The 22,381-nt window shown below is 33.2% G+C and overlaps 1 protein-coding gene across 16 annotated transcripts in view; it reads right to left on the reverse strand.

Annotated features, from left to right (window-relative positions):
* Positions 1–22,381, reverse strand: part of ARAP2 (ArfGAP with RhoGAP domain, ankyrin repeat and PH domain 2) — a 239,381-nt gene that overhangs the window by 101,932 nt on the left and 115,068 nt on the right. For 12 of the 16 annotated variants that reach the window (XR_007096351.1, XR_007096353.1, XR_007096350.1 and 9 more), the window contains 7 exons: positions 21,198–21,410; positions 17,527–17,632; positions 13,844–13,991; positions 12,315–12,383; positions 9,726–9,800; positions 6,835–6,952; positions 230–358 (listed from right to left, as the gene is read on the reverse strand). Coding sequence is in view for 6 of the 16 variants with exons in the window: in XM_047449575.1 (XP_047305531.1) it covers positions 230–358; positions 6,835–6,952; positions 9,726–9,800; positions 12,315–12,383; positions 13,844–13,991; positions 17,527–17,632; positions 21,198–21,410 (858 nt within the window). In the remaining 10 variants the exon portion in view is untranslated. The remainder of the gene's footprint in view (positions 1–229; positions 359–6,834; positions 6,953–9,725; positions 9,801–12,314; positions 12,384–13,843; positions 13,992–17,526; positions 17,633–21,197; positions 21,411–22,381) is intronic. The other 4 variants (XR_007096352.1, XM_047449574.1, XM_047449573.1 and 1 more) reach the window with 1 other exon arrangement.

Raw genomic sequence — 22,381 nt, forward strand, 5'->3', positions numbered from 1 at the left:
AAACCTGAACTTGGTACAATCAAATTAGCCAACTATTACCACAGAGCAACACATTGGGAAAATATCTTCCTGTCCATATATTCTTCTTTCTTATATATGTACTATCTCAGTTCATTCTGTATCTAGCTACTCGTTTTTCACATTTTCAAATATTACTTGTGCCATATTAATTACCCTTTAACCACTTGAATTTTCAATCATAGCTGCAATGTGAAGTAATGACACCTACCACTGCAGTGTTTAATTGTGTCAGCGGTTAAGAATCTCTTCACCACCAGGTAAGCAGAGCCAGGTTCAGCTAATGAACTCCACCGAAGCACCTGCTCCAGTACATTTTCCTTGTAGTGAAGAGGACGCTCTGTAAAAAATAAATTCCAAATCAAATGGAAAATATATGAGGATAACAATTTTTTATTTTATAATCATAAATTTTAAAAAATCCATTTGAAAACATCTGTAGGCAACATTATACACAATCATATCTTATGTTATATTATACAGTAATAGCACTATGACTATGTAAAAGATATCCTAAGACCTAGAAAATTATTAAGCACATAATAACATTTACTATATAAATTAATCATGCAGGAATACCTGTTACTGAACTATTTTTAAAAATCAGAAGTACTTTTGATAAAAATCTCAGAATTCTACCTTTTGTATAATAAATTCTACCCCTTGTACAATACATTATTATTATTATTATTATTTTGAGACAGGGTTTCACCCTGTCACCTAGGCTGGAGTGCAGTGATGCAATCCTAGCTCACTGTAGCCTCAAACTTCTGAGCTCAGGCTACCCTCCCACCACTGCCTCCCAAAGTGGTGGGATGAACAGGCATGAACCACCATCCCCATCCTCTAACCTCTTTTGTAGATAACATACTGGTTTGTTTAGGGAAACCTTCTTATTTTTATATGCAATTAAATGGTTTTAAAAGGACTAACAAACTTAATATTGTCCGTTACTAAATAATAATCATAAATTAATCATAATCCTTTGTTTATCCCAACAAGATCAAACTCATAATTTTGGATCAACACTAGTAAATACCTCATAGCTAATATTTTCATAATCAATACAAAATTATAAAATGTAACTTCTATAGAAAACACTAAAATCATTTACAAAATAGTACTGAAGAGTCTATATTTAACTACTAGTGGGAATATAAAAAACATGATGTGTCAATATTATAGACTAACTATTGACATAATAGGCCAACTAGCAAGAAATTACATGACATCTTCAATATATCTCTCTGAAGAATATTCATCCATACACATTTTGATTTAGGCAATCATAATTTTAAATGCAGCATATATTCTTAGCATAGAGTTAAAAAGAACAAGTTTTAGAATTACAATCAAAGTCTCACAGAAAAGTTTTTGATGATCAAAATATGTCAATCAGTTAATAAAATGTAGCAACAGAAACATATGCTGGAATAAAGGAAATTCAAACTTTTTCTCAGTGCACTGAAAATAGCATAATTGAAAATAATAAGAAAAGAAGCTGTGACATGAAGATGTCAATGCTGCTTTCCTAGTGTTGTAGCCATGTAAAAGTCAATTCAACTCTTTCACACCATCCAAAACATAAAGCACATACCACCTGAGCTTTTTGTTTTCGGTTAAAGTAATGAGGCTAAAGACAAACAGGAAAGAGCATATCAAAAGCATCATACTTGTATGATCCATCATAATGTAACTGATAATAAAATCACAAGTTTAAATAAATATATCACATCCTCCCTAATACTGGTTTCCCCTGCTATGAACATATCATATCAGAAGTCATCAACAATTCCTAGTTTCAGATAAGAAAATAAATTGTCTGTTTCCAATGTAAATTACCAGATGTTTGCTTCCTATCCAGTAAAGAGAAATCCAATTCTGCATTCTGTGCTTATTGGAGCAAGCTAACTCATTATAATAATGGCAAGAATAAAGAAGGAAAGAAAAAATCCACTAGGCCACACATCCTGAAGACAAATATACATCTTGTTTACTATTATATATCCCCTATTCACAGCATAGTATTGAATATATAATAAATGCTCAATAAATATTTGACAAATTATTGCATTATTTTCTTTGATGGCCCATAAATCAAAAAAACATATTAACAGAAAGACTCACAGACAAAATGAGTCATCATAAAGCCAGATAAAATCTTTTGTGCTATGTCAATATTACTTTTCTTCAAATAATTTTCTAAAAGATTGGGAAAAGATCATAACTGCCCACAATTTTTCAATGTTATAATTCAACTGTTAACTAACTCATAAGTTTGTTGTCTTCTAATTGAAGTTAGATATATTTGAAGGTAAGACTAATTATAAAATAAGCACTCCCTTTATGTATGGCTTTAAATATATTTTTAAATTATTCTTTAAGTTCTAGGGTACATGGGCACAAAGTACAGGTTTGTTACATATGTATACATGTGCCATGTTGGTGTGCTGCACCCATTAACTCATCATTTACATTAGGTATATCACCTAATGCTATCCCTCCCCCTCCCCCTTTTGAGCCTACTACTTGCAAGCTTTGAGATACTATTGATCCCAATAACGGTTGCCATTTATGGAATAACAATTATGTATCAGCCATTATATATACTGGATGCTTTAAATCAGTTATCACTTTCAAACTTCACAATAACATGCTTCACTAGATATTATTATTCATATTTCACATGTAAGGAAACCTAAGGATCACAAAGGTTTTGCCCCTTGCCTCACATCACATGGCTGGTTAAGGTGAGGAACAGAGATGTGCATCCCAAACCTATCTAACTTTAAAGCCCAAAATCTTAACTATTATAGTTAATTTTATTCTGTACACATATGTAAGCCTTCCCATGATGGTTTTCTCACATGCAATTTGTTTTCTTAGGTAACATATGCAAAGTGAAAAACAACGTCTGCCCTGTCCACATAATCAGAAGATAACAGCAGTTTATGTGTCAGTCAGAAGAGCTAGAAAGAATCCTAATAAAATAAACAGATCTTCCACATCATAGTAGGTATGAGGAAGAAATAAGACCATCTTTTTCTGATAGTACTGCATAAAAAGTAACTGATTCTCAAACTTGGATCTCTCAGTGAAGCCTATTTAAATGAGGCCCTTCAGCAATTAAATTTCTTTCAAGATGTGAAAAACCTAGAAGGTAAAGGGGTCTACATTGGCAGAGGATGGGTTCGGATTTAAGGTAAAGCATTAAAATAATAGCATATTTTGGATGACTGGCTCTTATGGAAGAGAATCTAACTCAGCTTAATGTATATTTCATACCAATGTAATATAAAATGAAAACATCAAAAATGTTAAAATATTTTAAATGGTTATATTTTCCCACGAATCTGACTACCATATAAAGAAGAAAAGATGACTGCTGTTTTAGTCAGAACTTCCTGAAAAGTTGTGCACCATCTCACCAACGACAGTAATGGCGAAATATCATTTAAGTGAAAAAAAATGTACATGATTATAGCAATCTGAATTAGTAGCTGCCACATCCATGGTGATTCCATTTACAGGTTTAAGAATCTATTTGCATCATCTTCAGGCATATAGGAGTTTCCCAGCATTTACATGCTAATAATGCATATGTTCCCTTTATTTTTATATTTTAATTAGGGTATTAATTTTTAATGAGTACAATAGGTTATCTCAGGACAGTAAAGGGAAGATTACCAAACATTTATTATACAAAGGAAATACTGAATATAGAGAACTCCTGGTTTAAAATATACAGATACTTAAAATCTAGCATTCTGGCTTACATATTTATAAATTTATATATTCATTCATTCATTTTTTTACTGCATTACTTGGAGGATTTATGTTTACATTAGCAAACACACCAACTGCCTGGCTGACATTCTTCTCAACTACAACCTTCTTACTACCTATGCCTTTACTTTTATCTCCTTCTCATATTTCACTTTATCTTCTCTGCATGTTACTAGATATAAAGCCTTCAACATGTGGTACACACATGTTCCACTGGCTTCAGTAAACCCACATAACCACAGGCCCTTCTGTTGCTCTCCTACCATTATTCCTCTGGGAGGTTTTCCCTTACTGCAATTTCTACTTGTACAGTTGACAAAACATTAAGACCATGCCAAATTTGAATTCTTAACTCTAAGTGTATTCTTTCTAGGTGTACATGACACATTTCTTTGTTTATACATTGACACATTCACAAATCAAAACTTGATGACTCCTAGTTTTTTAGATATCTTGGCATAAAGACAACTTTATTTTAATTAGAAGTAAAAATAAGAAAAAATCCAATTCAGTCTTAGCATTGTATATACTAATTATCACATTCAAGTTTATAATTAGTCATTCTGAGGGTAAACATCCCTTGATTGCTCAAGATAAAATTTCAAAACAATGTTTCTTGGTATAATGCAACCCCTCTTCTAGCTATATATAATTCCTTTCTATCCTCATCCACCTGCTTGCTCCTCTTAGGATGGCCAGTAGCCAGAGATACAGAGCTCCAGTGGCACACAGATATACTTTAGTGTACTCAAACTTTGAGAGGGCAACGGAGGTAGGGAGGGGATGCCTACTCCTAAACCCACAATTCAGTATTCTGCTATCAAACTTTTAAAAAGCAACAGAAATAGAAGCGTGTAGGAGACAATCATCTTTCTAAGCACTAAACAGGGCCCTGAGATCTCTTCATGGTTCCTAATCTACAGGCAGAGATCTCTGTCTATGTGCCTCCCACATTTGGATGCATCTATACCAGGAACCACAATCCATATCACTCAGGTCCAGAATGCATCTACTTTTTTGCCCCACTTCAGTTGAAAAGGCTTTTGTGGAGTTTGATCCACATCAACTGCACTATGAGAAGTAGTCAAAAATATAAAGCCTGAAATACACGGTAAATGCCCTAAAAAAAGTATAGTCTAGGGCAGAACCAGGTATATACACATTGCTATTCTATAAGTCATACAGTATACAGTATTATAGATTTTTAAACAAATTATAAGACATCAGTGTGAACATCATGAAGGAAGAGACATTTCACTTAGACTGTGAAGGATAAATATGCAATGAGGAAATAAAGGGTTTTATGTGGTGGAACAATGTAAACCAATTTGTAATGTGGAAAGATATTTCTGGCAATAATGCTGACAGTTAATCTTTACGCACAAATATAACAAAGCTGGTAACCAAGTGACCCATTCTTTAAAATTAAACAAAGACAAAAAATAAAAACTTTGTCACCCTTGTACCACAGGGTCATACAAAATCATGCCTCACTTATTCAATAGATTTTATGGCTCCTATATACTAGGCACTATGCTAGACATTAGAGATTTAAAAAAAAAAAACAGAATTGCTCCTACTTTCCAAGGAACTCCCATCAAAAGAGACAAGTACAAATCAAGGTAATAAGTACTATAAAGAGAAATGAGACAAAGTACAATGAAAATTTTAGTCTAGGTTTTAAAAGAGGTAAGAGTGTGAGCCAGATGGAGGAAGAACAAAGGTATATTTGGGAAACACCAGTTAATACATGTTAGCCAAGCACAAAAAATAGAAGAGATTATCTAATAATAATAAAAAATAAAACAGGTAACATGAGAAAAGATGGCAAAGGATGTTGCAGCAAGGAAAACCCAATGTTTAGAAAACAGAATAAGGAGAATCTACAAAAGAGGTAAAATGAACAGAAAATCATAAAGAGAATCCAGGCAGTATGGAAAACAGAGTGAAGATCATCAAATAAAAAGGGAATAGTCATTAACAATAAATGCCACAGAAGGTTAGGTAAAGTGAACCCAGATGTGAATCTGGGAACTTGACAGTTGGGAGGTCATAGGAGTCATTTGCCAGAGTATTTCTGTGCACGAGGAGGATTGAGACCGATTGAGGGAGACACTGTGAACTGACATCAAAGTACCATAGTCATTAGATCTTGGCAATGTATATTTAAAAATAACATTGAAACATTTTAAATTTTAAAGAATTGTGCACAATCATAATACAGGAATAAAAACATAAAGACAAAGTACTGACAATCCCGTTTCATTTTATCACTTATTGCAACACTCCTAATAACACACTATGGGGTATTTTAAACATTGAATTTTAATTTTTATCCTAAGCTTGCGGGTGGCAAGATTTTCCTTTTGGCAGTTTGGCAGCTATACTCCAAAGTGTCCCAAGACCTTAGTAGGTAGCAGCTAGACAGATGGTGAAGGTACAAAGACATTCTGTGTATTATTTTTTTTTCTGGAGGTCTTTGAAACCACATGGTGTTATTAAAATGTTAAGCTCATTCAGCACTTGACTGTTGGGGTAGTCAAGGTGCTTTAAATGCTCCCTTCATCCCTAGGCATCTTGGAGATGAAAGACAACAAAATATGTGATTCACTAAAGATAGAAAAAAGAAAAATAAAAAATGAAGCTTCTGCTGCTCTTAAAATTATTTTATATAATAAACAATATTTTAAATCAACATTCCTTGTTCTTGTTAAATAACAGTAATTCATACCACTCAGAATATTGTGCCAAATCAAATCGCTTGTCCTTATAAACAAAGGTCTTCTTTTCTGAGGCAGCAAAAGCGGTACCTAAAGTCTTGCACTGTATTTTTATAGTCAATAAGGTAATATAATTATTTTGATGAGTAAAATCATAAAAAGGCAACCTCAAACATATATTAATACATGCACTAAGGTAAAAAAAATCATAACAAGATGTTAAGACATAAAATGTTTATAAAGTCTTGTCTTAAAGAGTACTTTTTACAGTATAAGTAATTTAAGAATCCCTAGCATAAAAATCACTTACCTAGCTCTTCATTTTCAATGACTTCAAATGTGGCCCAAATATCACCTTTTGTAGGAATAATATTTTTTATCGCTAATATATCATTAGTTAATTCTTCTGCTTCCATCACAGGAGATATCTGTAAGAGAAGTAATATTTTTTCAAAAAACGTGTTAGACACAGAAGTAGCCTTATGCTAGGTCAATAATATTCCCCATCCACCATTTAATGATATCTTGAATTTATTTTGAGCATGGTTAAAACCAGCTTCCCTAATCCCATACAGAAAACAGCATGTTCAGATCTTTTCCATAAAATGTACATAAGTACAAAAAGAGATCACAATATAGACATAAGAGAATTTTTTAATCTCTTACTGAGCAATTAGACCACTCAGAAGGAAAGAATGTACCTAATTACATTCGGAATGACCTTCGCCAGACAATGAATCCAACAGTCATCTACATGTAAAATTTTTACTCAACAGTTCTATAATTAAGAGTGTAGAGTGACTTGGTTTATTCAGCCTAGATTCTAAATTATACACAGTCAATGGCTATCGGTCATGCCAAAAAGCTCCAGGGTCTTGGTAGTCTGTGGTGTGCCCTGCCATGCCAAGTGACAGATGGTGGGATACCAAAGTATGCTGGAACCAGGATTCCAGGGCAGATGTCAGAGTCTGCAATGCCAACCTGGGGGTCGGTTCTACGAAAGTCCCAAAGCCTGAGGCCACTGTATAAGCACATCACCTCTTCAGGGACTTTTGGAATTTTTTATTTGTTTCTTTTTGTTTTTGCTTATGCCAATCTTAAGTGCATGCTGGCCAAAAGCAAAATGGCTTTCTTCAATTAGAATTTAGTCATAATGATGTTTTAAACATTATAATACTGCAGTTGCAACTTGATTTGCACATTTTCAGTAAAAGGATGTCTCTACTAAAAGTTCTTTAGAAATGTATTTGTTTCCATTTCTCTTGACCATAATTACCCATAAGCATATTGCACATACATAAATGACAAAAAACCTATTTCACTGCAGGTAACTCGCAAAGTCTACCTTTTGTATTTTATGAAATTTAGTGCTTTTTTGGAATATAATTATACAATGAAGTCCACTATTTTCTATTTAGAAAAGCCCAAAGAAATATAAACTTAAAAGAAAAAAACTTGTTATAGCATCTAGGAATAACAGAGAACACCAAGCAGTATGGAGTAGTTGAATCATTTCAGTGATGCTGTTGATATGCATGAACAAACAATATTTTTAAGGCTAGCACTTTCTTTAAAAAATAATAAATTATTGAGAAACCCACTTGTGAAACAGGCAGCAGGAAGCACCTTGGTCTGAAACAGGAAAACCAGAACTCTATTCCTTGCATCAAGAGAGACCAAAAGCTCCTCTTTAGTAACACCTAACACTCCACACTTGGGAAATTATTACTCTACAGAATATACAGATCAGTATACTGAACGTCCAGTCGAGATTATGATGACCCAGGTTTGTATTTCTGGCCTTAGTATTCTTACTTCCCAGTTTCCATTCTTATAAACTCGGAACATCACCTGCTTCATCTACCTCCATGGGTTGAGGTAATAATTAGCAGAGATAAATGTAACTAAAGGGTTTTGCAGAATCATAAGCATTAAAACCTAAGTAATTGGTTTTAAATAGTTTTTGTTATTTTCTAAAGAGCATTTGGAGTTACTATAGGTGAAACTGGAAAGTCCTTTATCTAAACACACCGGATAACATAAGAACATGGCTCAATTATAACTTCTGTTGTGACTTTAGAAGATAAAATTAAAATGCGCTATTAAAGAGCCTTTGTATAGATTTAAGTCACAAGCTTTGAATACCTTCTCCAGCATTAGTGATGAACTTGTGCTAATTGGTCTTTACTAGTTCCTCACATCTCTTATGATCAGCATTATGCATTCAGTATAAGAAATATGACATGGCCAAGGAGTGGCAAGGCAAATGCCTCATAAAGACAAAACCTATAATTATAGTATTAATATTTCAGCTTCATGTACTAAGTAATGTACTTAATGGTGTATAGTTACAATTCATAATCATTAGAAACACAAAACTTAAAATCAATATATATTTAACTTAAGTCCAAATATATCTAATGTTGTGACTGTTTAATCCTGGACTTTAAAAAAGATAAGTAGCTAAAGCCAAATTTCTGTTACATGGCAGAATGTCTACTGTTCATACAAATAAAGCAGTCTTACCAAATAGCGACCTGAAATATCAGTTACTATATGTAAGGCAGACAAATTACTAAATATAGTAGCATGTCAAACATCTATTTTTAATTCATCACAAATGATCAGTACTCTCAAGGGAGAAAAGAGTTATCCAAATAAATATCCCAGACTTATATTCAAATCAATTGGAAGACTGGATGCTAAAGTATAGAAAACAAGGGTGAGAGATTATTATTAATTATAACAGCACTAGTAGTAATAGTTATTTATTAAACACTTACATGCTGAGCAATGTGCTAAGGGTTTTACATGCATTATCTTATTGAATCCTCACATCAATGCTATGATGTAATACTGTGATTTTTCCTAATTTTACAGGTGAGAAGACTGAGGCTCAGAGCAAATAACTTGTCTAACGTTAGGAAGCTAGGAAGGGGAGGAACAAGTATTTAAGCTTGGGGTATTTTCCAGAACTTGAAGAAAATCTTAACACGTAATCCAAAGCACATAAGATGTTCTCTTTCCAAACGATCAAAATACAGAATTCCTGGGGGATATCACTATAAAAAGTCTATGTTGTCAGTCGTTTGAACTGGAGAGGTAATATAAAATATAATAATGGAAAATTCAAAATATATAAAATAATGCTAACATTTGTGACTTCCAACAGTCCTCTTTACATCCACCTTTAGAACTTACCCGAATTATAATACTACAGTCGGGTTCCTTCCTTTCTACATATACTTCAATTAACAAATCTCCAGCCTGGGAAACCTAGAAAAGGGCAGAGGTAGAAACAACACAGATAAACATATTGTAAAAACACATATTTGAAACTGAAGACAGCTATAAAGCCCCAGTCATATTTCTGAATATTTTATAACAATGAAACAAGCTCAATTCCCCTGCTCACAAGCATGATGTGCCCATTTCCACATATGGTTAAGGACAAGGCATTTACACAAATGTTATAATCAGCAACAACAACCACAATGATTTTCTTTTTTATCTCTTACTCAGGAGCTTAGTACTCTCAAATACCTTACATTTTTCCTAAAATAATGAATCCAGCTACAATAGATATATGCTGGCTGTGACAACAGAAGTTGTAGGAGCCATCAGCATGTACGTTAACAGGATAAACAAAATGAGGGGTGAAAACAAAACACATGAAGTTTTGCTTCAAGCTATAATGTGTGCATGATACCAATATTTAAAAGGCAAATTATGGCTTGCTACGTTTTTAAAGAGAAGATATGCCTGAAAATTGAACTTTGAGGATAAACTAGGTCAGAGCTATATTAAAACTACAAATAACATAAATTTAGAAAGAAAAATAAAAGTGAGGTCATTCATGGAATATGGCAGACAATAAAAAGAAGTTTTTAATTATCTTTGGCCAAGAATTAAGTACTAATTTAGGTCATTATTATATCCCAAAAGACAGACAAAGTGAAGAAGATGCAAGCCTGAAAATAAAAGGCCTTATGATGTCATATCACTATACAGATTAACAGTATAGAAGGTTAACAAAGAACCAAATGAATCTATGAAAAATATTTTGAGTAACTTTTTTCAGAAGTTCCCTTAAGTTATGTAACCAATTAGAAACAGTATCACCTGATTTAAATAAAAAAGATCATAACCAAGAAATCATTCTCAAATTAAATTCACCTCAGCATAAAATCTAATGAGTAAACTTGTGGGGAAAAAAATTTTGTGGGGAAAACATTAAAGATGAACTTTGAAAAAGTTCCTTAATTTTTCTGGCATTACAGGCTTAGAAAAGCTTATTTCCAGTTTTTCCTCCTGACTTTCAATGCTACAGATACATTTCAGTAAGTAAAAGATACAGTTGACACTTTTGCTTTTCACTATGTTTGCATAAACAGCTCTCCAGGAAGGACACATTTTAAAACTTAAAAAGTTAAAAAAAAAAAAAAAACTTAAAAAGTAAATACAAAGAACTCATAGAATGAAATAAAAAAGAAGAATAGGTAAGAAATTCAAACAGGGGTAAGACAAAGAGACTGAATGTCAGAAAAAAATACTCCAGAAGACAGTTTTAAATGGATTAGAGGAAAAATTTAAGTAAAAAAACAGATTTTCCCAGACTCTTTTACTTATCTTTTCCAAATACTATTATTTTTACTTACATATACAGACTAAACTGAAAGCATTCAAAACATCTTTCTTTATTGTAATATGAATATAAAAGATAAAAAATGCAAAAGGATACTCAAACTTTTTTAATAACAATGTAGATAGTGTGGTTAAAGTTTACCTCTCAGCCTCACACAATCCTTTATTTCATGACTAAAGACTTCCTCCCCGCTCCCAAAAAAAGTGAGAATTTAAGATAATTGATAATGACCTAGATTTTTTAAGGTTAAAGCTGACTCCTTTGGAAGCTGCATAATTACTCTGGGTCAAAATGGAGAAAATAATTCATTAATATCATAGTATTAGTACTGATCTAGGCCTTCCTCTATTTTCTTTATATGGAATGACAGTTTCAATGACTCTAGTTAGTTGTGGATATTTCAGGACTGAGGAGAATTTAATGTCTGACTAACAAAAAAGCATTTGCCTCATTATGTATCTGTAAACAGAGCACATCTGATCCATTTCTATCATTTATATTGGTACCCTGAATCCACTCTAACTCCTAGTTACTAGAAGATGACTAATCATCAACCTTAAGAAATTCCAGTGAATATTCACCAAACAAGCATAGTGCAACCAGAACACAAAAATCCAGTATAATGTGACTGAGGAAAACAGGACAGGATATAGAAAAGTCAACTTAGGACAAAAATTAGAATGTGTTACAAAGATCAAATTAGATGCATTCCATTAATACAATCATATGAAAGCATGCAAAGCAAAAGCATATAAGAAATAATTTATAGTTTCAAAATAACAATAGAAAGAATCACTAGGCTGTCTGAATTTTCAACTTACTCTAAGTATTTCTTTGGTTTTAAATGCTTCCTTTGAAATCCATTAGCATTTTCAGTCATGGTTTTATACACAAAAGTTGATTTTATAAAGAAAACCTTGAAAGGTAAATTAAAACTGATTTTCTATTTTTAAAAATTTACATTAACATATTTTGCATATATGTATCAGGTTGCTGAATTACACAACCAATTAGTTTTTTTTTTCACTCATTACTTTTACTTTGCTTAAAATAGGAACTTGAAAATACACACAGCAAATGTCTTTACTTACAATGGAAGTTTTTGTTTTGTTTAATTATTTAGAGATCTAACTATTACTACTCACTTGGGTGTCTTTCCACTTGGTAATAAAGCTATTTTCTATGTCCATTTGTTTGACTTGATCTTCTTTAACCTGTTTAAAATATAATTCGGGACATTCTAATAATGTAGAATACGAAGAGTGATGACACTCATCCTCATGTAATCTTCAGGAATTTAAATACTAACAACTTAAAAATAAATGAGAATGGCCATCGGAATCAATATGAGCCCACACAGCTAGGGTGGAAACAAAGCCAACAAGATAGAGTATCCTAAAGTTCAAAATATTTTATGATGATACTACTTCAGGCTGCAATTGCATTGATGGAAGTCCTATTTCTTAGGAAACTTAAGCAAAGGATCTGATGACTGGCTTAAGTTTATGTAGGTTGAGAAACAAAGCTCATGTATCAAACTGAAATGTTCATTAGGTGCTTATTAAATTTCCATCATTTAGGTAAAGTTTAACATAACTATGAAGATAACCATTTTATTAATGGAAAACTACAAATACAGAAAATAGAGACAGCATGTAAGCCACACATCATATTTTTCTAAATCTTTATTTTCTCAGCATCAGATTATTGCAAAGAAGTTGCTATTGATCAAAAACAGTGGACACATATAGAAAGAAGTAAAGAGGAGATCAAAGAGCAAAGAAAATCCCACAATCTGGTGTCTATTCCTATGTAAATTAAGATACAGACTGTGATATTTTGTTTTATTAAAATAGCTTCTTTTTCTTGTCTTATGATAAGTGATTATAATAAGAACGTAAGAACTCTACAATGGTAACCAATTACACTAACTGTCTTGACTTCATGTGGTACAGCCATACTTCCGGAAAACAACTGGACTCATAAACACCATTTAAGGGAATGTTCAAAAGGTTAAATGACAAAATTGAGGTGCTAGAACTAGTTATATAATAGAACTGGACCTTTTGCCCAAATCCACCAATTTGAATCCTGGGCTTATTTCCCCTATTTTTACTTCTTTGAACCAAGAAATCATCCCTACTCCAACAGTTTTCTGATGAAACATGAAAATATTAACTTTATAAAATGGAAATTTAAAAAGTCAATTAAAACAGATGACTTAGTAAAACACCATAGAATAATAATATTTTAGAATGTTATTTGTTTCCAACTGGGGACACAACTAAAAGAAAAAACCAAAGGGCTTTCAACTGCAGAATTTAAGAGTCTGGTATTTATTAATGAATTGTTCATTTTATAACTTCACACTTCTAAGTAGATATAATTCATACACATGAAGAAAAAGAAAACACATGCAAAAATCCTATAAATAGAAATATTCTGTCAAACAGATATCAGATGGTAAAAAGTTTTAAATGCAACCAAATTTAAATAATGACTATAGCTTAAAAGCTACTTATATCTATAATTTAAAAAAATATGACTATTCCTTATTTTATGTATTTCTAAATATGAATAAAGATCTGAATAATAACACCCTACAACATAAATATTTGTTGGCAAACAGTGACATTATAACCATTTTAACAAGGGCAGGATACAAAATAATTACCTCAAATATTTCTACATAATTATTAATTAGGTCCTCAATTACATTCACTTCTTCACTAGTTTGTCCCTTCGTTTGAAACAAACAGGATGAAAAGACCAAGGCCAAATTATGGGCATTCATGTGATTGATTTCTGAGCATTTCTGAACCCTGTCAGAGAAAAGCATAGTTTATTATGATACACTTTTATTTGGAAATTTCATAGAACAGAAAGCCAGTTTATCAATTTTTAAACACAGCAATATTGGAATTCTCTGACATAAAAGATACAGTGGTGACTTAAAAGCATATGGTTCTTTCTTCTAAGTAGCTTATAATGATAGTTAAGAACATCAGAAAAAGTACTGTTAAATAGATTAGTAAAAGTTACAAAGTCATACTTAATTGTTGATTTAGAGAAAGGGCTGACCATATTCAAACAATTGCAAACTATAAAACAACCTGTGGCCAAAGTATAGAAGTATGCTTGCAGAATGGCGTAAAATGACTTGTGGGGCTGCAGCATAGGAGGAGGAAATGGGGCAGGAGGTATGTAGAAAACAGGCAAAAAAGGTAGGTCATTAGACATATAATTGACAGTTCCAAATTCCAGGTGCCAAGCTGGGCTAAATTTTCCAGAAAGTGCAAATCAAATGAGAAAGAATATCTGGGCCCATGTGTCCATACAGCTATTCTAAATAAAATATTATCACAAGGCAGACTACTTTAAAATGCAATTACATTTTTCTTGGATATAACTAAGAATGCCTTTTTATAATGAACAGAAATGAACGAAGGAGTCAACTCTTTCAATCAGTAGGCTATAACACTGGGGTCTTAAAAGAGTTGTTAAACTGTTTACGAATAAGTATAAAGTAATTAAAAAAAATAAACCCACAATGAGATATCATCTCACACTCACAATAGTCAGAATGGCTATTACTGAAAAGTCAAAAAAATAACAGATGCTAGAGGGGTTATGGGGAAAAATGAATGCTTTTACACTGTTACTGGGAGTGTAAATTAGTTCAACCACTGTAGAAGACAGTGTGGCAATTTCTCAAAGACCTAAAGACAGAAATATCATTCAACCCAGCAATCCTATTACTAGGTATATACCCAAAGGAATATAAATCATTATATTATAAAGACACAGACACACATATATTCACTGCAGCACTGTTCACAAAACCAAAGACATTAAATCAAACCTAAATGCCCATCAATGACAGAGTAAGGAAAATGTGGTACATAAACACCATGGAATACTATGCAGCCATAACAAAGAATGAGATCACGTCCTTTGCAGCAACATGGATGGAGCTGGAGGCCAATATCCTTAGCAAACTAACACAGGAACAGAAAACCAAATACTGTATATTCTCACTTATAAGTGGGAGCTAAATGATGAGAATACATAGCAAACAACATACACTGGGGCCTAATGGAGGGTGAAGAGTGGGAAGAGGGAGAGGATCAGGAGAAATAACTAATGGGTACTAGGCTTAATACCCGGATGAGGAAATAATCTGTACAACAAACCCCTGTGATACAAGTTTACCTGTGTAACAAACCTACACACTGTACCCCTGAACTTAAAAGTTTACAAAAAAAACCAAAACAACTCCCTGAAGCATCATCCCTAAGAAAGGGAAAGTTACATTGCTAAAAATGTAACAGACGAGAACTGTAAGTGGCACACTTGATCAAATGAATATAGTAACTCCATCAAATGAATGTAGTAAGACTAAGCTAGACATTCCCATCTATGAAGAACACAGATTCAGGTAGCTACAAGAAAAGGTGAATAAACATGATAGCAATACATATGTTAATGTAGAGAATTCATAATAAAATACCAAATTGCATAGCAGAGATGGTGCAAGTGCAATCATCACACGTGATTTACAACATGCAAAAGGAACTGGAGTTTAATAGAAGAGGATGCGATAATTGTGAACACCCCTCTCAAAACAATGTCTATGCTTTTACAGTACACTTAACTGTAAACATCTGGAACATTTATCTGCATGTCTGTCTCTGTTACTAGAATCTATGTATCTCACAGTCAGAAACTCTTTAATTACATTGTGGTGCATGATAAACACCTGGCGAATGGAATTAAGAGGATATTACTGATGGAGGAAATACTCTTTTAGCTAGGGTAGGGATTGAATTAAAGGCTAAATCAACTTGTCCTCATCCAATTTACTTCTCAATCTTTTAAGGACATTATCTTTAAGGACATTCCTGCATTTCTTGGGACTTCCTTCTGCAGTATCATCCCCTTTGGTACTTTTCACCTCTCTTGTCTTTAATTTAAGTGGCTGCCTTAGTTTCTGGGACAAAATAGGTATAATATAGTGTTTCCTTTTCTTCCTTTACTTCTCTGCTCCGAGGTGTTAACATTTCCAAGTGTTCCATATTCAGCTTGCCCAGTCCCTTCTCTCCCAGGTTTTCTCACCAGAAACTCAACAAAACTGTTTCCTAGTTAGTTTATCTGTCTCTATGCTACATTTTCCCTAACAATACCATCATAGGGATTATTATCCTAACACATTTGATCTGTTACTTCTTATCACTTAAAGGATAAAATCCAAATGTTTTTGCATGACCTACAAAGCCTTCCACAACTTCCTGCCAGCCAACTATAACTCTGTCATCTTCTAGTACTCCTATGTCCCAGACATTATCCTTCACTCATTTCTTTCACGCCCAATTCATATGTCCCTTTAAATCTGAAGCATAGAAGCATCCCCTGGACCACAACACACAATGAATCATTCAATTTATCCTCTATAATTCCATGCTGCACGCTAAAATTCTCTATATTAAAGTTTGTCTCAACATCTCACAGGCATAGAGATAGGACTATATAATGTGGACTATATTTGTATGATGCAATAAGAAAATCAGTTTTACAATAATGGAGCTGACATAAATGAGAAGTAGTGGTTGGGAAAGAAAAGAACAAGAGGAAAGAACACAAATTGTGAAACATTTCTAAATTGAGACTGCAAATAAGGTACTTTTAGTAAAATTCAGCTTTACAGAAATTTACTCAAGAGAGTATTTCATCCATTCAGGGAGCTACAATATATTCCTTAATCAAAATTTATATTTATTTAACTTTTTGTAATAATTCCTGCTAAGATTTAAAAAAAAAACTAGTTTTGACTTAAAAGGTTATTTTCAAATGTCCTCATCCTTCAGACCTCATTGGTAAAGTCACCATTACATTCCTCATATCTTCCCAAATGCAAGGAGACCTTCATGCCTTGACATACAAAATTGTTTTTGATTTTTAAAATTTCCTCACTGGATCAATAGCCTGATACCAAAATATAAAGGTCAGGTAAGATATAAACTGATAATAAAGAAATGTCCACCATGAGAAAATACTGTCATCACAGACAGATTCTTGTTACAGAATTCTGGTCCCTGCACATCCTTTATTCTCCAGCTTCCAAACCAAGTGAGTTTTTAAATTCTTGCTTATGCATCAGATGCATTTGAGGACACTGTATACAATTATTTCTGATTAAGAAATTCCCAGTGCTATTTATCTGTAAATGTGACTTAATTACAGAAAGAGAGACTAAGGTGAGTTCTTATGATACGTAGAAAGATTCACAATCACATAAGAAATAATGACTTATTGAGTGCTGTGTTTGAAATGTCGAGAAAAGTTCATTCATCTACCCACCTATACAGGTGTTCAATGATAGCTGCTAGTGTTGCTCGGTTGACCCCTGGAAGAGAACGTATAAATGCTCCATATTTTTTAATTCTTTCCTTGTCATCTTGCGTATCTGAAGGGGAAAAAAAAACAATCTTGAGATCTAAACTAATTATCTATGTTATGGATTTGTCTATCAGCAGTATTGTAAAACAGTCACAAACAAATGCATTTTAATAGGTGATACAATCAGGTTTCAGTAGACAATCGTTCAAAGTTCTAAAGTAATTGCCTATTAATCTGGAAAAGCATTTATTTACATAACATTCCAGTATTATGTGCTCTAGTTCTTACAATTTGTAATTTAAAATAAAGAACTTTTAAAATAGAAGGTTAGGTGGGATTATATTTTTTTATCTTCTACTTTATGGAATACTGAACTTTAACTTAACAGGAATACATTCAATTAATTACTCAAACTGGAGTACAAACTGAAGAGTTAAGCCAAAAGTATTTTAACTCTGGCTATGGAAATGTTTTATCATTTGTATTTGAAAATGACATTTCTGATTTTTATTTCTCATGAAATTATAAAAATCTTTCCAAAGCTATGAACTATCCTGGAACTATGAACTGTACAGTACCCCTTCGATCCAGGTAAAGGGTACTTTCAAATCTTTTGAAAAGTTGAGAGTGCAATGGAAGAAGTCAAGCCCAGGTCTTAATAACTACAATCTGGATTTAGAGGATGATAGACCTCCTGCTTTTGTCATGAACAGAAATTTGTTGGTTTATGGAGAGAAGGATGAGAAGGACTTACCCTCCACTCACCTGACTCCAAGAAGGCAAATATCTGGAGAAACCAGAGACAGAAACCCCCAAAGATCTAAACTCTCTGTAGAGAGCATGCAGTGACAGTTTAGCCTATGCTACCTGAAGTGGAAATAGATCATTCTTTAAATAAATCACTTGTGCTGACTTGGTAACTCAAGGAGACCACACTTATTATTTCCTCTCAATTCGCAACTATCTTTGGAAACAAGACGATTTTATTTCTTGCTTAGCCTTACCTCTTCTATTCACAGAAAATCAGCAGCACGCTAATGATGTCTTAAAAGTACAAAGTCACTTGTAAAGGACATTAGGATCCCTGGCTAGGTAAGAAACTCTGTATGACACAGTTTTCAAGTGCACACCTATTCAAAATTGCAAGTGATATCTCTTTTGTACTGATTTAGCCTGTACCTGAAAGCAATAGCCATACACATGAGTATACTGAATTAAGTGCACTAGTAGATGACTCTCTATAAGAAAGAGGGGGAAACACCCAAATTACATTCAAAGACATTACTGGAAATTAATTATGTATAATTCCCAGTATAATGCAAACATTTATCCTCGCGTTATCCAGTTTCTAACTGTAGGAGAAATTGCATTTATTCCTTAAAATTTAACACTACTACGCTTAAAACAAAAAGTCATGCTAGTATGCATATTTCCACAAATCTTATAAAATAGATGATATTTTCAAAATAAAGCTAAATAAATTGAAAGTAAAACTCAGGAATGATTTCAGGCCATATAGAAAATACAATGAGCAATTCAACGAAACATATAAGTTAACAGTCCTCCTAGAAGAACAGATCATATGTCATATAAATATAGGTGGTACACGGCTATAAGGCATTCTCTACCTCAGGTATACAGTACATCAAAAGAGTTTTATGAATTCACTTAGACAGTACTAGTTTATTCTTTTCAGGCCCAACATGGCCACTTTTGAAGGGTCCAGCTAAACTATACTGTTGGCAAAAGCAAAGGAGTTAAAGGTTACTTGACCCAGTATTCAAAGCCTTCTCCAAATAAATTCTCCAAGAACTCACATGCAAGTGAAAGGTGAACACTCCTACCCCTGCTGACTACCTTGTTCTGGTAGACTGACAACAGTGAAGACTTGTTTGTCACTCAATTTGACAACTTTAGCAAATATATATTTGTCGCTGTTGTTGTTGTTGTTTAACACGCAGGGTCTCAGCCCTGTCACCCAGGCTGGAGTACAGTGGCACCATCACAACTCACTGAAGCTTGGAATTCCTGGGCTCATGTGATCCTCCCACCTCAGTCTTCAGAATAGCTGAGCCTACAGGAGCACATCATGCCTGAGCTAACACTTCTATTTTTTGTGGAGACAAGGTCTCACTATATTGCCCAGGCTGGTCTCAAACTCCCGGCCTCAAGCTATCCTCCTGCCTTGGCCTCCCAAAATGCTGGGATTATAGGCGTGAGCCACTGTGCCCAGTCTTGCCATGTACTACTGATAACCAATTTTATAATAAAGACAAATTATAAGTCTATAAAGTAGAGATACTCTAAACAGCTTCATACATTTCAATACAATTTCTTAAAACAAAAATGAGGGGTGCAAGGTAACTGAGCTTAAAGCAATGTATTTAGCTCTGTGTTTTATATCTTAGAAAATTATACACTTAATTCTTCTTGTGATTACAGTGAACCCTACTGATTTGAGAAACATTAGAAGGCAAATGAAAGACTTCTGAAAGGTAGTTATATCGTGAGAAGCTTTATTTTCATTATAATACTACTTTTGCTGACACTAACTAGGGTCATTCTTGGGATAATTTTCAAACTGTGCATGTTTTGTGACATCATTTGAAAATTAATCTCTTTAAATATATCACTTGTTTTAGATTAAACAAATACTTTCAATGAGGAAAATTACTTCTCAATAGAGGAATGCCATGTGACTAGATTCAAAAGCCATTTTCCAAATCTTGAAAGAGATTAAATATATGAGACAAACACATTATAATTATGGAATAATTCAAAAGTAAGTTTTAAAACCTAGAACAAGAGAGAAATAAAAATTATCATTTGGAAAATATTATAGATATATGAGAAATGCTTATGATTTATTAATAAAAATAAAAATGTCATATACATAAATTATAAAAGTGAAGAAAAGGACTATAATATGGAAAAATAAAAGTAGCTTCAGTAAAAAGGTGGAATGAAAGGCAATGCTTATATTTAAGTCTTTGTTATTGTAATGTTTCAATAAAAGGACTTGTTTTAAATCATCGGAGGTTAAAAACACGTTTTACTAAAATTAATTTGACCCATGAGGGATTTAATAAACTCCTTTTCTAGGGTCATCTCTTAATTAGCTTTTCTTACAGTGTATAACAAAACTCTATTTCATTAGATGGAATCTAGAATAAATGAAGCAAAAGTTAAAAAAATTGTTATATACACTAAAGATGTAGAACACATAATAGAAGAAACACAAAAGAGTCATGGGTGAAAATCTTGCAAAATGTATCCTGTAGTAAATGCTTCATTTTATTTTTAATGAGAAATTAGTAGCACACATGGACTTGACTGTAACATTCCAAAGTTGAAGCAAAGTATGCACTAAGAAATCCATTGAAAACTAAGTATATACCAAACGATTTAGTGAATATTTTGAATTTCTCTTGAGGTAGAGAGAAACAGCTATTGATATTTATATAATTTCTGTTATCAGCCATTATGTACATTGTTTCTTTCAATTAAAATTTCAGCTTATCAAAGATGTTTAAAGTCTAAGTATTAAAAGGCAAGCATGTATTATGGTCTATATTATACACACACACACACACACACACACACATATCTACAAATATCTGTATAAATATTACCTAAAGCAGAGATCCAATATGGGTAGAGCTCCTTAGTAAGCAGTGCATCATCAATGTCAGAGAGAAAACTTTTCAACACAGCCGTCACATCTTCAAGCTGATGTTTTCCAGCCCTCAATTTAAAGCTTCTTGCATCCTTTTTGAAACTCTCCAGGAGTTCACTTATATGCAAAGGATCACCATTCTTTTGATAGATATATTTGCATCCTAAACCTTTGTTTAAAAAAAAAAAGTTATACTTTAAAAGTCTAAATTCAAAAGCCAGTTTGATATTTTAAAAACAAAACAAATGTTTGTGTTGAGACGAGAAGATGATGAAATCATTACGCAAGAGATGATATAAACATGCATGAGCAGGAAAGGCTTTTTACTCCTGATTTTAGTATTTAAAATGTAAACCTAATGAGCAAATCATTGCAGCCTCAGCTTTTGGCAAGCCCCTGATCAGTCCTTCCTCCAGCTCTCCATAGTATCTTTTCCAAATGTTCTTTTTCTTAAAGTGCCCTATCTTCACTTAGTCTCCCAGCAAACAACTTACCTCCATTTCTCACTGACAAAAGTGAGGCTCTCTGGTATAAATGTCATCAACCACCTGCCCCTATATTGTATATGAATTTCTGTATGCTCCCATCTTCACCTTATTTCCAATGGAGAGTTGGGTTACCTCTTTTTCATGGTTACTGATTCATGAAGTACTCCATACCAAATAAAAGGAGCAGTGGTTAGGAGGAAGAGTGATGATGACAATGACAATAATTCAAACCCCAAAAGCATCCCTTGCCTCCTCCCAGGCTTCTTTTCCCTGTTCCTTTCACAACCAGGCTGAGTTTTCTATATTTATTCTTTCTACTGTCTCACATGCCTGTTAATCCTTTGACCACACAATCTTGCTTCTCTGCCCAATCCCCATTCTGTTGGGGTCACCCTTCATCAATAATATTAACAATGTTCTTTTTTTTCTAGATGCTTTTCGGTTTTTATCTAGGGAGAACTCCTTGTAGCATTTGACATTCTGAACGAATCCCTGTAAATTCTTTTAACCCCCTAACTTCCATGATATCATAATTTCATATCTCTTTTTTCTCCCTTCCCTCTGTGACTGCTCTCTCAGTCTTCTAATTTTTTCTGCTCAACTAATACTTACTGGTCATTCCAGGGATCCTTCCTCAATTCTCTTCTCTTCC

Source organism: Homo sapiens, chromosome 4, assembly GCF_000001405.40.
Source record: "Homo sapiens chromosome 4, GRCh38.p14 Primary Assembly".
In the NCBI taxonomy this organism is placed as follows: domain Eukaryota; kingdom Metazoa; phylum Chordata; class Mammalia; order Primates; family Hominidae; genus Homo; species Homo sapiens.